General features: G+C 42.2%; 1 protein-coding gene across 2 annotated transcripts in view, besides 1 other annotated feature; it reads right to left on the bottom strand.

The window, feature by feature from the left end:
- Positions 1–15,994, bottom strand: part of CRTC3 (CREB regulated transcription coactivator 3) — a 115,423-nt gene that overhangs the window by 98,610 nt on the left and 819 nt on the right. For both annotated transcript variants that reach the window (NM_022769.5, NM_001042574.3), the window contains exon 2: positions 6,599–6,697. In NM_022769.5, the coding sequence (NP_073606.3) occupies positions 6,599–6,697 (99 nt within the window). The remainder of the gene's footprint in view (positions 1–6,598; positions 6,698–15,994) is intronic.
- Positions 15,710–15,869: an enhancer, noted in NCBI's record as "active region_10079". NCBI's record gives its function as "activates an Ori minimal core promoter by ATAC-STARR-seq in GM12878 lymphoblastoid cells {active_cell/tissue: GM12878}" and the evidence as "EXISTENCE:reporter gene assay evidence [ECO:0000049][PMID:35858748]".

Here is a 15,994-nt window from a genome sequence, read left to right as displayed (position 1 = left end):
CAGGAGAATGGCATGAACCCAGGGGGCAGAGCTTGCAGTGAGTGGAGATCGTGCCACTGCACTCCAGCCTGGGCAACAGAGTGAGACTCCGTCTCAAAAAAATAAAAATAAAATCCTAGCAGGTGTTTTTATAGACATTAACAAGCTGATTCTAAAATGTTATGGAAAAGCAAAGGAATGAAAATAAGCAAAACAGCTTCAAAAAAGAACAAAGACGACTCTCATTACCTAATTCCAAGCCTTCCTATAAAGGTACAGTAATCAAGACAGTGTGGTATTAGCAAAATGATAGACAAAGAAACCAATGACACAGAAGATGGTATTAGCAAAATGATAGACAAAGAAACCAATGACACAGAAGAGTCCGGAAATAGACCCACATGTATATGGTCAATTGATTTTCAACAAAGGTACCAAGGCATTCAATAGGGAAAAGAAAGTCTTCATCAAATGGTTCTAGAACAATTTAACATCCCTATGCAAAATGAGTGAGCCTCAAACCCAAACCCTGTACCACACAAAAAAATTAACTCATAATTTACTTAAGTGTAAAAGACAGAGCTATAAAACTAATAGAGAAACACATAGAAAAAAAACCTTCGGGAACTTGAGTTAGATGAAGAACTCTTATTAATAGATAAGACAAAAGCACAAATCATAAAATAACACAATTGATAAACTAGACTTCAAAACTTAAAACTTCTACTCTTCGAGACTTGAGAAAATGAAAAAACAAGCCACAGACTGGGAGAAAATATTTGCAAAATACATATCTGATAAAGAACTGGTATCCAGAATATATAAACAACTCTCACAACTGATTAAGAAAATTAACAACTCAATTTAAAAACTAGACAAGGCCAGGCGCAGTGGCTCACGCCTGTAATCCCAGCACTTTGGGAGGCCAAGGCGGGCGGATCACAAAGTCAGGAGATGGAGACCATCCTGGCTAACACAGTGAAACCCCGTCTCTACTAAAAATACAAAAAAAATTACCCGGGCGTGGTGGCAGGTGCCTGTAGTCCCAGCTACTTGGGAGGCTGAGGCAGGAGAATTGCTTGAACCCAGGAGGCGGAGGTTGCAGTGAGCCGAGATCGTGCCACTGCACTCCAGCCTGGGCGAAAGAGTGAGACTCCATCTCAAAAGTAAAAAAAAAAAACAAACAAAAATTAGCCAGGTGTGGTGGGGCGCGCCTGTAAACCCAGCTACTCAGGAGGCTCAGGCAGTAGAACTGCTTGAACCTGGGAGGCGGAGGCAGCAGTGAGCTGAGATCACGCCACTACACTCCAGCCTGGGCGACAGAGCGAGATTCAGTCTCAAAAAAAAAAAAAAAAATTAAAACCACAATTGTCATATGATTCAGCAATCCTACTTCTGAGTATGTACCCAAAAGAATGGAAAGCAGAGCCTTGAAGAGATATTTGCACACCCATGTTCATAGCAGCATTATTCACAATAGCCAAGAGGTGGCGGCAACCCAAGTATCCATTAGCGGATGAATGGAACAAAATGTGGCATCCACATACAATGAAATGTTACTCAGCCTTGAAAAGGAAGGAAATCATGTCACAGACTATAACACGGGTGAACCCTGAAGACATTATACTAAGCACAAGCCAGTCACAAAAAAGACAAATAGTATATGATTTCCCTCATATGAGGCACTTAGAATAGTCAAAGTCATAGAGACAGAAAAAACAGTAGTTGCCAGAGGCTGGTGGGAAGGGAACATGGAGAATTCTTATTGAATGGGCATAGAATTTCAGTTTTGTCAGATGAAAAAATTCTGGAGATTGGTTGCACAATATGAATGTATGTAATACCACTGAACTATACATTTAAAAATGGTTTTAGAAGATACCAATAAACTACTTTAAAAAATGGTTAAGATGGTAAATTTTATGTTCTGTTTTTTAACCACCATTTTTTTGAAACTCTGAAATACCAAGTGCTAGAGCAGATACAGGGTCGCTGGAACTCTCATGCACTGCTGGTAAGAATGTGAAACAGTAGAGCCACTTTGGAGAACAGCTTGGCGATTTCTTATAAAGCTAAAGTTAATATACACTTACTGTATGATCTAGCAATTCCACTACTAGCTACTTACATAAAAACTGTATGTGAATGTTTATAGAATATTTATTCATAATTGCCAAAAGGTGGAAACAACCCAAATGCCCATCAACTAACTGATGAATGCATAAATTATCTACATCCATAGAATGGAATTCTACTCAGCAATAAAAAGAAATGAACTACTGATCAATGCAATGTAGTGGGTTAAATTATGGCCACCAAAAGAGATATCTTCAAGTCCTAAGCCCCAGAACCTGTGAATATGACTTTATTTGAAAACAGAATCTTTGCAGATGTAATCAAGCAAAGGTGAGATCATATTGAATTAGGGTAGGCCCTAAATCCAATGACTAGTTCTTTATAAGAAAAAGGAGAGGAAGATTTAAACACAGACACAGACAAACAATGAAGAAAGTCGTGTGATGACAGAGGCAGAGAGTAAGTGATGCAGCTACAAGTTAAGGACTGCCGCAGACCACGGAAGCTAGGAAGAGACAAGGAGGGATTCTTCCCCAGAGCATTCATGGTGCTGCTGACACCATGCTGATTTCCAACTTCTGGACTCAGAACATGAGAACATGAGAAAATAAATTTCTGTTGTTTTAAGGCACTAAGTTTGTGGTACTTTGTTACAGCAGCCCTAGGAAACTAACACACGCAACCACCCAGATGAATCTCAAATGCTAAGTGAGAGAAAAACTCAAAAGACTACGGACATTTGATTCCACTAATAGGACACTGGAAGAGTCAAAACTACAGATGGTGGTTTCCAGAGGCTGGAGGTGGGGGATGGAGAATACTTACAAACAGACACAAGGGAACCTTTTGGGGTAATGGAACTATTCTACATCTTCATTGTGGTGGTGATTATATGGCAAAGAGCTGTATACCTAAAAAAGGTATAAATTATATTGTATTTACATAATACCTCAAAAACATTTACTTAAAAAAAATCTGTGCTCTGGGACTCTCCTCAGTTTTTCAAGAATTTTTCTCAGTTCGGAAGAGGGCTCCCACCAGCCTAATTGGGGAGAATGTGAAGATCAAAATAAAAATAATAGATTAGCTTGCGCTTCAAGCCCACTCTTACTCTGTAGAGCATACTTTTATTTCAATAAATCTGTGCTTTCATTGCTTCAAAAATGAATAAATAAAATAATAGATTATAATAGATTGAATAAAATAGAAAATCATAAAACCATATACCGAGAGATAAAAAATGAATGTATAGATTGAAAGTTTAATGAAGATCAGGATAAAGTATCTCCTCGCAAAATATTTATTCATTACAAAGGGGAAAAGAGTTACTTTAAATGGGGAAGCCTGACAGACAGGCCACCTTTTTTTTTTTTTTTTTTTGAGACAGGGTTTGGCTCTGTCACCCAAGCTGGAGTACTGTGGCCCCATGTGAGCTCACTGAAATCTCTGCTCTCTGGACTCAAGCACTCAATCCTCCCACTTCGGCTTCCCAAGTAGCTGGGACCAGAGGCGTGCACCACCACATCTGGCCTTTTTTTTTTTTTTTCAGTAGAGACAGGGTCTCTCCATGTTGCCCAGGCTGGCTCAAACTCCTGAGCTCAAGCGATCTGCCTGCCTCAGCCTCCCAAAATGCTGGGATTACAGGTGTGAGCCACCATGCCTGGTGGACACCACCTTAATTGATAAAAGAGAACATCATCATTAACAGGACACATCAAAATCATGTCCCTAATGTGATACCATAACAGCCTCACTTCTTCTACGTTATTCCTGCCAAAGATGCATAGTCTGAATCAAATCACAAAGATACATTAGGCAGACCCCAATTGAGGGGTTATATCTACAAAAAAACTGGCCTGTAATCTTCAAATGTGACAGGATCACAAACGTTAAGAGTACTTGAATTAATGTCAAAAATAAAAGGCTGAAAAGCTGTTCCAGACTGAAGGAGACTGCAGGCAATAACTGCATGTGATTCTGAACTGAATCCTTTTGCTACAGAGGACAGCAGGGGGACATTTGGTGAATGCAGTCTGAAGATCAGATTGTAATAATGGATCACTGTTAATTTTCTTATCTTGATGGCTGTATTTTGGTTATATAGAACAACGTCTTTGCTTGTAGGAAAAACACAGTGAAATATTAGGGGGTGATGGGGCATCAGGTCAGGAACTTATTCCCAAGTGAAAAAAAAGTTATGTCAGCAGGGCACAGTAGTTCATGCCTGTAATCCCAGCACTTTGGGAGGACGAGATGGGCGGATCACCTGAGGTCAGGAGTTCGAGACCAGCCTGGCCAACATGGTGAGACACTGTCTCTACTAAAAATACAAAAATTAGCCAGGCGTGGTGACGCACGCCTATGATCCCAGCTACTTGGGAGGCTGAGGCAGAAGAATCTCTTGAACTCAGGAGCTGGAAGTTGCAGTAAGCTGAGATCGCGCTATTGCACTCCAGCCTAGGCGACAGAATGAGACTCGGTCTCAAAAAAAAAAAAAAATTAAGTGGACTATACTTCCAAGTATTGTGTAAGTTTGTGACTGTTGCAAAGAAAAACAAAACAAAACAAAACAAAAACAGTATGAAAAGAATCCTGGGGGCTACGCACGGTGGCTCATGCCTGTAATCCCAGCACTTTGGGAGGCCAAGGTGGGTGGATTACTTGAGGTCAGGAGTTCAAGACCAATTGACCAACATGGTGAAACCCCATCTCTACTAAAAATATAAAAATTAGCTGGGCGTGGTAGTGCACGCCTGTAATCCCAGCTACTCAGGAGGCTGAGGCAGGAGAATGCTTGAACCCAGGTGATGGAGGTTGCAGTGAGCTGAGATTGCACTACTGCACTCCTGCCTGGGCGACAGAGTGAGACTCCATCTCAAAAAAAAAAAAAGAAAAAAAGAATCCTGGGAAGGCCAAGGATTATCATTTTATCCCATTCCCCAATGCAACCGGAGGGGAACATCATAGTAAATTCTATATTCCTCTAAAGTTGACAATAAAGTAGCACAAAATTGGGATCTCAGACACAGCAAACTTGCACAATGCTGTATTTCCTGAAGTATGAAATCCCGCATAAGGCAGAGACCTATGTTATTTGGATACTAAATAACCCAGTGGGTTAATATATAAGGTAGTTTGATATATGAAGGTAGATCTCTAATACAGGCAGTAATATGGTAAAGAGTCCATTGTCATTATATTGAAGACAAGATTCCGGTGCAATAGGGTACAAATATGTTCATGTAGTACTTTTTCTAATCACCATTATATTTGGAGTTCCTATCAGCACTCTCAAATGGAAGTCCCCAACTTAAATAATACATTTGGCTTTATTTGACATCATCAAAAAAGTGAACCCAGTTTCTACCACAAAGAAATAAGACAGTGCTTTTAAAATGGTCAGGCATCCAAACAATCAATTAATGCTTCATCTTAAAGTTTATATCTCAACTTTAACACCGAATCTTAAATTGCATAATTAGAATGACAGGCTCCTAATGTTTCACAGATTGGGATATCTAAGCAGGTCTAATTCAGGTCTTAACAATAGTGCCATATACCATTGTCTGAAACACCAATTCCACATTGGTTTGAACAAGGCTTTCCACTGATGTGAACGATGAAAGCACCCGAGGACACTGCAGTAATCTAAATGCAATACAGACTACTTATCTGTGTCTTACACCTGCACTGAGCCATGTGGTAGCCACCAGCCACATGAAACTAGTGAAATGCGGCTGGTCCAAATTAAAGTATGCTTTGAGTATAAAATACACAACAGATTTCAAAGACATAGTACACAGAAAAGTATGTGAGATTTCTCAGTTTTTTTATGCTGATTGCATGTTAAAATGATCATATTTTGGATATATTGGATTAAATATTTATTTTTTTATTTTTATTTTTTTTTGAGACAGTCTCGCTCTGTCGCCCAGGCTGGAGGGCAGTGGTATGATCTCTGCTCACTGCACCCTCCGCCTCCTGGGTTCAAGCGATTCTCATGCCTCAGCTTCCCAAGTAGCTGGGACTACAGCTGTGAGCCACCACACCTAGCTAATTTTTGTATTTTTAGTAGAGATGGGGTTTCACCATGTTGACCGGGCTGGTCTCGAACTCCTGACCTCAGGTGATCTGCCAGCCTTGGCCTCCCAAAGTGCTAGGATTACAGGTGTGAGCCACCATGCCCAGCCAAACATTTATTTAAGTAATATTAAAATTATAGATGAGAAAGCTGCATTTTGAAAAATATAGATATTAAAATTAACCCCACGTGTTTCTTCTTCTTTAATGTAGCTACTAGAACATTTTAAATTACATATGCTTGTGTTATAATTCTACTTGCCAGTGCTGCCTTCAGCCATTTGTGAAATAACACTATCGTATGCTGTAGAAACTATGAGAGAGAATATTAATGGACTTTCCAAAAGAAGACTGAACTGTACCTAGGCCCAGCTTATCCTTCAAGATCTCATCTTTTTAGTGATAATCTTTGTCTATTTTTTACACTCCATTCAGCTTCAAGAAAGTACATATCTGGAGGTACCTGAAACTCTGACGCACTGCTCCGCAGCTGGCTCACATTTGGTAAGGATCCTCCATGGTACTGTGTAAGGCGCAGTTGCTGAAGCTTCTGAAATTGAACCTGGAAACAAAGTGATTTAAGAACGCTGAGAGGTAACAGCAAAGATCTAAAGAAGCATCAAAGTATAGTATTTTGTAGGGGAACGGTTCAAGAATGAAAGTCTTGTTTCAATTTCTTCTCGACGTAAGTGATCACACCCTCAAGGTTTCCGGTGCTTTCTGGGTTTTGATTACTCTATTTTCGGAAAGAGCTTACCCATGTTCCAAATGTCCCATATACCATGATAGTAACGTCCTCTTGCAAGGTCTTTGAGTGTGTATGTTTGGATACACTGGCATAATCTTTAACAACAATAAAAGAATTTCTGAAAGAAAAACTAAGCTACTATCCACAACCCTAACACATTAGCTGTTTTCCCTTCTTCATGCTCTTTTCCAGCCTCCGTTTACATTTATGGTAAGAACTGCATAGCTGTGATCATAAGATAGGTACAACCTAGCATGCTCATCATAAGCCTTTTCTATGCTATTACAGAGTAATTTTTAGTGGGTATATAACAGTTCTTCTGAATTATTTCCTTAGAACACCTTCCAAAGGGTGATTACTAAATCTCTGGATATGGGCCTTTTGGTGGCTCTCAACGTATACTGCCGAAATGCTTTCCCAAAGAGTTTATAATATACATATGAGAAAAGTTTCACCAAAAAAACTCATTGATATTGGATATTACCATTAATTGGGGTAAGGAAGGAGGTCAATTCAATAGGTATAAAATGGCATCCCACCATTTTAATATGCTTTTCTTTGTAAGTTCTTCCTTACTTCATTTTTCAAAAAGCAATAAACTGGTTACAGTTCTTGTAAATCTCAAAGTGGTCTGATCTGGTCTTTAAGAGTTCTGTTTCTAAAATAATAAATTAGCTCCATGGTTACATAACCCTTGGCACTATAATTCATATAGAGAAGAAAGGGTTATAGACGAGAGCCCTGGGGCAGATTTTTACCCTTCATCACTCTCTGTCTCTAACAATAATAAAACACTACCAGATCTAAGCCCCTAGGATGGGCCAGGTGCTGTTCTCGGACACTTGGCCCACTTCATCCCTAATCCTCCCCACAACCATGCAAATGAGACTGTACTCTCCTGCTGTTACAGACCTGGAGACCCAGACTCGGAAGTTCAGTGACTTGCCACGTGGCTAGCAGGAGGCTGAGCCACGGCTGTCAGCCTCAAAGCCCATATGCCCATTTCTGCCATGCTCTTTTCCTTTGTCCCATCTTTCCCTCGATGATCATACTAATTACAAACTCAAAAAAAAAAAAAAGGTGAAGTTTGGTTTACCAAAAGCATTGTTGAACCTATGAAGCTCTCTGATAATTTCCTTTTTACATTTATTATGAAAGATTTCAAATAGTATATGTGAAATAAAGACAAGTATAATGAAACCCCATCTATCCATCTTCTAGCTTAAAAATTACCAACTTATATACAATCATCTTTCATCTTTACCCTCTCCACTACCCGCAGTGCCTCACTGACAGAAATTTCAGACATGGTATCACTCCATATTTCAATATGTATTCTCAAAAGATAAAGACTTATACTTGTTTGGAAATTTTAAAGGCATACGAAATCCTTCAGTGGCTTTAACTTCCCTTATACCTGCTGTATTTGATTTCTTAAATGTACTGCACAGGGAGACAGTTATAACCTATTAATCAAAACCCAAATCTCAGAGTCAAACATGAGGAGGACGACATGGTGTTTTTTCCATCTAGGAGTGGAGTTATAGGAATAAAGTCTCTCAGCTTTCAATCTTAACATTCTAAAAGTACTTATCAGAAGCATCTGACTATTCTTGAAATTCTCTGGACAAAATTCTCAGCCATCTTGATTTAAAGCCTTTGATTTCTTTTTTGAAGGATCAATTTATCCATTGATTTACTGATACAAAAACTTAACTGTGTGTCAGGTAGTATGCCAGGCACTGGCTTACTAAGATGAATGTATGCTAAAGTTCCTGCCTTCAGAGAGTTCTCACAAAGGCTTCAACTCTTACCCAAAAGCCTTGACACTTCAACCAAACTAAGTTATAAATCCAGATAGGGACCTGCCCTCAACTGAGCTGAAGGCCGTCTCACAATCCCCCATAACTGCTCTCCCTCCCAAAGCACCTATTTCCGAAGCCTTCAAAGACTGTTAAAAAAGAACACGGCTAGCCTGGCCAACACGGTGAAACCCCGTCTCTACTAACTATTAGCCAGCTGTGGTGGTGCATGCCTGCAATCCTAGCTACTTGGGAGGATGAAGCAGAAGAATTGCTTGAACCCAGGAAGCAGAGGTTGCAGTGAGCCAAGATCATGCCACTGTACTACAGCCTGGGTGACACAGTGAGACTCTGTCTCAAAAAAAAGGCCAGGAGCAGTGGCTCATACCTGTAAATCCCAGAACTTTGGGAGGCCGAGGCGGGCGGATCACGAGGTCAGGAGATCGAGACCATCCTGGCTAAGACGGTGAAACCCTGTCTCTACTAAAAGTACAAAAAAATTAGCCAGGCATGGTGGTGGGCGCCTGCAGTCCCAACTACTCAGGAGGCTGAAGCAGGAGAATGGCATGAACCCGGGAGGCGGAGCTTGCCGTGAGCCGAGATGGCGCCATTGCACTCCAGCCTGGGCGACAGAGCGAGACTCTAAAAAAACAAAAAGCACTGGACCTGGAATCGGATGATGTGACTTTGTAACCTGCAACTCCCGTGTGGTTGGGCAAACAACTCTGACGCCTCCTGCACAAGATAAAGTGAGGATTAAATGACACAGACACAAGAGTGGTATGTCAAATGTAAAGCTCTGGTCAACTTAAGATATTATCATTATTGCTGATCTCAGCTACCTCTTCAAACTCTGAGTTATTTTGACATTTTCCTCTTTTGAAATTTAGACTCATTGAGCTAGAAAAAGAACTTTGAGACTGTCTTCAACACCTTCATGTTTACAGATGATGAACATGTGAACCAAAGAATGATTAGCCTAAGGCCGAGGTCACAGACTGGCAGCCCATAGGCCACATTTCACCTAGAGTGTTCTGTTTACCCACCAGATGTTGACCCATTCAGTGTATTAAATTTCAATTGAAAAAATCAGGACACTGCATAAAAATATGGATTTCCAACTTCTCCTGATTGAAAGATCAGACAACACTGAACCCATGTTCTTGCATGGCATCGCTGGATGAAGCTGAGAAGAGGCCACCCCCTTAGATCGTGTTTGCCAAGTCCTCACTGTACCCTATTATCCCTTCACGATGGCCCAGGATCAGCTGCCATGATCATCTCATTCCTGGCCCCTCCATTCATTTTCCTTACCTGCCTCACTTACTGAGTTAGTGACCTTTGGCCTACAGTCACACATCTTAGTGGAATTTTCTTTAATGCCTACAGGAAATGAGATCCAGGCCTCATTAATTCCTTTTTGAGAAAAGTCTCACAATAGCCAACACGATTACAATCCAAAATCCCAGCGGGTCCTTTCAGAGACATTGACAAGATAATTCTAAAATTTATGGATGTGCAAATGACCTAGAATAGTCAGAGCAATTTTTTTTTTTTTTTGAGACAGGGTCTCTGTTGCCCAGGCTGGAGTGCAGTGTCACAATCACAGCTCACTGCAACCTCCACCTCCCAAATACAGGCACGCGCCACCACGCCCAGCTAATTTTCGTTTTTTTTTTTTAGAGACGGATTTCACCATGTTACCTAGGCTGGTCTAGAATTCCTGGGCTCAAGCTATCTACCCGCCTCAGCCTCCCAAAGTGCTGGGATTACAGGCATGAGCCATGGCACCTGGCCAGAGCAATTTTCAAAAAGAGCTAAGTTAGAGGACTTAAATTACCAGGTTTTAAGCCTTATTATAAAGCTATAATATACAGACAGTGTGCTATTGTCAAAAAGACAGATATACAAATCACTGGAACAGAAAAGAGTCTAAAAATAAACCAACACTTATATGGCCAACTGATTGCAACAAAATTGCCACAGCAATTCAATGGGCAAAGAAAAGTCTTTTCAACAAATGATACTGATACCTTACAGCAGGGAGTAAAAGCAGCTGAAGATCCTTATGAGGGAAATTAAAGTAGCTAAGTATACAGACATTCACTGTGATAGCTAGATTCAAACCCTGGCTCTACCACTTACCAGCTCTGCAACCATGCCTCTCTAAGCCTCAGTTTACTCATCCACAAAAATGAGGAAAATTCCAGATATACACACCATAGGCTCATTTTGAGGACTATGTGAGATAACAACATGTGAAAGGGATTACAGTGCCTCGCAAAAGGAAAGTCCTCAATATTTAGCCCAAACCTAATATTTCCATCTTCTCTCTCTCCTCCATCCTGAGAGCTCGCTAATCTATGACATATCTATGTCTTATCATTGGTTTATTTTCACATGAAAATAATGAGTCTGCGCAAATATTCAAGTCCAATCAACACTCCAGGGTGATATGCTGAGTTAGTCCTCTGGTTCCTCAACACAAGTTGCTCTTCACAGCCAAACTTCTGGAATAAGTTTCCAACCCTATCTCCATTCCCCACCCCCGTCCACTCCTCAACGTCTCACAATTAGCCTTTCACCCAGCACCCTGAGAATACAGCATCTCTCACCGAGGTTACTGATGACCTCCTCTGATGACCTCCACATGACTAGACCAAAGGACACATCTTTTGTGTCAGACCAAGTCAGCAGCACTAGGCTCAGCTGGTCGGCATTCCCTCCTCTTCATAAGAGTACTCCTGGCTTTCTCCTGCCCCTCTGGTTGCTCTTCAAGCCTTCTTGGCCAGCTCCTCCACCTCCCTTTCAAATGGTGTAGTTCCTTAGTTCCTTTGGCTTCTCCTAGGCCCTCCTCATGGTTCACTTTCTTTTTTTTTTTTTTTTTTTGAGACGGAGTTTCGCTCTTGTTGCCCAGGTTGGAGTGCAATGGCACAATCTCGGCTCACTGCAACCTCCGCCTCCCAGGTTCAAGCGATTCTCTTGCCTCAGTCTCCTGAGTAGCTGGGATTACAGGCACTCGCCACCATGCCTGGCTAATTTTTTGTATTTTTAGTAGAGACGGGGTTTCTCCATGTTGGTCAGGCTGGTCTCAAACTCCTGACCTTAGGTGATCCGCCTGCCTTGGTCTCCCAAAGTGCTGGGATTACAGGCGTGAGCCACCGCGCCTGGCCTCACAGTTCACCTTCTGACAAGGGTAACAAACTCAAATGCCTACAGCTGCCAAGCAGGGAATCTAAGTGAAGCAGTCTGGGATCACTGCAAAGAATACCTTAGAGGGTGGTAGGGACTGTGGCAAACTGAAGACCACATCCATGGCCTTTCTAATGGGGCAGCCACCATTCAGCTCCAGGCAACTGGTGCCGTCCAGAAATGTCGGGTGAGTGTCGTTGGATTATCTCATTTTTCAAAAGAAACCAAAGTCCAGATTTTACTATAAAATCCCAATATTCATTGTTAGCCCTAATTAAAACCAACCAACCAACCAACTAACCACATTTTGGGCCAAAACCAAAAACATGTTAGAGGGCAAAATACAGAACTTAAGCCACCAGTTTACAATATCTGTTCCATCAATTCTTCCTAGGCAGCCAAATCTACTTCTGTGGCTACATAACAAAAATTCCCCCATTTTTCTCAGTAGCTCAGCCTTCCTTCTCGAGCTGCAAAACCATCTAAACAGCTGCCTGCTGGACCATCTCTACTTATGTGCCTCACAGGCACCTCAAACTCAGCATTTCCGCACAAACCTGCTCCTGCCAGTGTCCACTTAATGAAGAACACCCTGAAATGGTTCCAGCCCTCCCTCTTTCTCACCTTCCTCACCCATTCACAAAATCTGGCCCTTTCCACCTCCTAAGTATCAATCTGCTCACCGCTCTGCCTCCCGACTGCCACCATCTTAGTAAATGCCACTATCACATCTCCTACTAAAATCCTCCTCCTCCTCTCTTCTACCCACCACGCTGGAGCTAGAGGAATCTTTTAAAAAAGCAAATCTCACATAGTTTAACCCCTTCAGTGACTTCCCATTGCCCTTAAGATCAAGTTCCAAATCCTGTCTCTACAACCTGATCCCTATGAATGCCTCCAGCCTCATCTCACATCCCCTCCTCATCCTCTTTTACTGAATCTCTGTTCTCTGTACCTGCAACATATTCCCTCCCTCAACACACAAACCCTCGAATGCCTCCCCCACTCCCCCTGAGCCTTTAGGCCACTGGAAGAGGTGAGAATTCCCTACCATACAGGTCCAGAGCTCCACCTACTTCTGTTTTGGTGATATTCACCAAAATGTGTCCTTACTTATTAAATGAATGTCTTCCTCATTAAATCCTAAAATCCACTGGGACACTGTGTTTTGCTTGCTCATTACTATATACCCAGTGTCCATCCTAACCCCTGGCACACACTAAGGACTCACTCAGTAAGTAAATTTGTGGAACAAATCAGTAAGATCTTTAAAGGACAGCCCCATGTTTTCACTCTTCTCCCTCACAAACACACACCCCATTAACAACAAAGTAGGCACTCAAATACTGACAAATGAATACATTAATAAATGAACAACAGAACAGCCTCTTCCCAGGCATACCTGCAACCACTTTCTTCCCTTTTTTTTTTTTTTTCCTAGGCGGAGTCTCGCTCTGTCGCCCAGGCTGGAGTGCAATGGCGCGATCTCGGCTCACTGCAAGCTCCGCCTTCCGGGTTCACGCCATTCTCCTGCCGCAGCCTCCCTCCTGCCGCAGCCTCCCGAGTAGCTGGGACTACAGGCGCCCGCCACCATGCCCGGCTAATTTTTTTGTAGTTTTAGTAAAGACAGGGTTTCACTGTGTTAGCCAGGATGGTCTCGATCTCCTGACCTCGTGATCTGCCCGCCTCGGCCTTCCAAAGTGCTGGGATTACAGGCGTGACCCACCGCGCCCGGCCTTTTTTTTTTTTTTTTTTTTTTTTTTTTTTTTTTTTTGAGATGAAGTCTTGCTCTGTCGCCCAGGCTGGAGTGCAGCGGTGCGATCCCGGCTCACTGCAACCTCCACCTCCTGGGTTCGAGCGATTCTCCTGCCTCAGCCTCCCGAGTAGCTGGAACTACAGGCGCACGCCACCATGCCAGGCTAATTTTTGTACTTTTAGTAGAAACGGGGTTTCGCCATGTTGGCCAGGATGGTCTCGATCTCTTGACCTCGTGATCTGCCCGCCTCAGCCTCCCAAAGTGCTGGGATTACAGGCGTGAACCACCACGCCCGACCCCACTTTCCTCCCTCTCTTTACCATTCCAGGTACCACCACTCAACTCCTCCTCCTAGTACTCCCTTCTCAAAATTTTCCCACTGCTTCCTGATAATGCCGGACTTCTAAAGCTAGAGAAAATCCTCTACAGTCTAGTCTATCCTACCCACTAGGTGAATAGGATAAGTAACGCCTAGGTGAATAGGTAAGTAAGGCCAACTCTGAAGGATTGCTTTGATCATGTAGAGAAGAACTTGAATCCCAACACAGGCTCAGAGGGGAAAGAGCATCTAGATAGATCAGTAATGTCTGCCCTATCGATTAGCATGTCTGTCATGGGCTAGTAATGAAAAGTCAGGAATTAGCATGTCTGTCATGGGCTAGTAATGAAAAGTCAGTATATCTGCCACCCAGTTACCAATTATGAACTAGGCAGATACTCCTCCAACTGGGATCTTTGGATCCTTAGAGACGCATTCTTCATAGACATGCTGGGAATCTAAGAGTTCTCTATGAGAAGTGTTCTAATTTTGTGATTTCTTCATGAAAATAACCCTTAAGATTTTTAAATAAGCAAACATTAGTAGCCAAATTCAGTGTTATCATTTACAGATGTGTTTATGAACACGGTGGAGCCAAGCAGTGTTACTTTACTGGTAACTGGCCAAGAAGAAAACACGGGCAGAATTAATATGTAAATGATTCCCTGTACCAGGTGAAGGGCAAAATGACACCATAATTTTGTAGTAATTAGAATAAAGTGGTGACTGAATTATCATATGGGCCACAGTTGATTAGGCTTGCTAAATTCAAGAGACCCTGAGCTATAGCAGGGTCTCTAAAGTAAGTAAACACTTTTTTTTTACTTGAAAGTAAGTAAACAGTGAGGATCTGTGAAAAATTTTTGCTTTTAAAAGAGAGTCTGTACATTACTCATGGCCTCACCTGTCAGGGATATTTTAAAGAAGATTCATGAATTGGGTGAAAGATTGGATCCGCCATAGGTATACAGACATATACAGTGCATGTATTTGTACATAAACAATGTACAGTATGTATTTAAAAACACATAACAACACAGGCCCCAACACTAATCCTCAGCTTTCACCCACCCATTCTTTTCAACGTGCTCTGAGCTTATCGAGTTCATCTCTGAATCTAACCAAGGTCACAGATGTAAATGCCAGTGGATGCCAGGCAGGTAAAAAATGAGTGAAGCTGATAGGGTATAAGAAAACATTTTCTTGAAATCTTCAGCTTCTTTCTCTCTATATATATATTTTTTCTCAATGTGAACAGAAATGTAAGTACAGGAAATATTTCACTTTTTCCTTAACTTCACTGAAAGAAAACACCATCATGAGTATAAATGGCAACTGTCACCTAATCTCCCCTTGGGGGACTGTGACAGAGAGTGGACGGTGGCAAACTAGAGTTCTTACTCCATTTGAAAGGGAGCTCAGCTCAGCTCCCTTTCATCATCACCCAGCTCCAGCAGGTCGGTAGCTGTCATGTAGGAATTCAGAATTAGTGTTACCAGGTCTCCCAATTTTTAACATATATAAATAATAATAAATAAATAATACGGAAATTTGGATTTTGTGTGGAAGTCTTCCAATTTAAAAATTCTGGCAACAGATTCAATAATTTTTCCCAAACACTGCGCTGGCCAAAAAATAATGTGTCTGCAACTCAGCTGGTTTGCAACTCTGCTCTCAGCTCTCCTTCAAACTGTCTCCCCCGCCTCAGTCCCCCAGAATCTGCAGATCCTCCCCCATCCTCCCGATGGTCCTCCAAGGTCAGCATTCAGGATCCTCAAGGCCAGCCCCACTCCTGCTGACCCCCCTTCTCTGCAACCCTGCGCGGACACTCCGGTTGGCTCTCCATCCTCCACTGCCTCACTCAGCGGTTACCTAACCTCTCCAGGTGTTTGTCCCGGCTCGCGCCTTACTCATTCCTCCAGGTCCCTCTCCAGTCACCAGCGACGCTTGTCAGTTCTCACTAAATATCCCGGGCCGAACAAAGTAAACTGGACCCGATAAAGCACCTCCAAGGAGTAAAAGGAGCAGAGCCTCACACTCGA

This window comes from Homo sapiens, chromosome 15 (assembly GCF_000001405.40).
Source record: "Homo sapiens chromosome 15, GRCh38.p14 Primary Assembly".
NCBI lineage: Eukaryota > Metazoa > Chordata > Mammalia > Primates > Hominidae > Homo > Homo sapiens.
The sequence above is the reverse complement of the archived record's forward strand: the minus strand, read 5'-3'. Positions and strand labels throughout refer to the sequence as shown.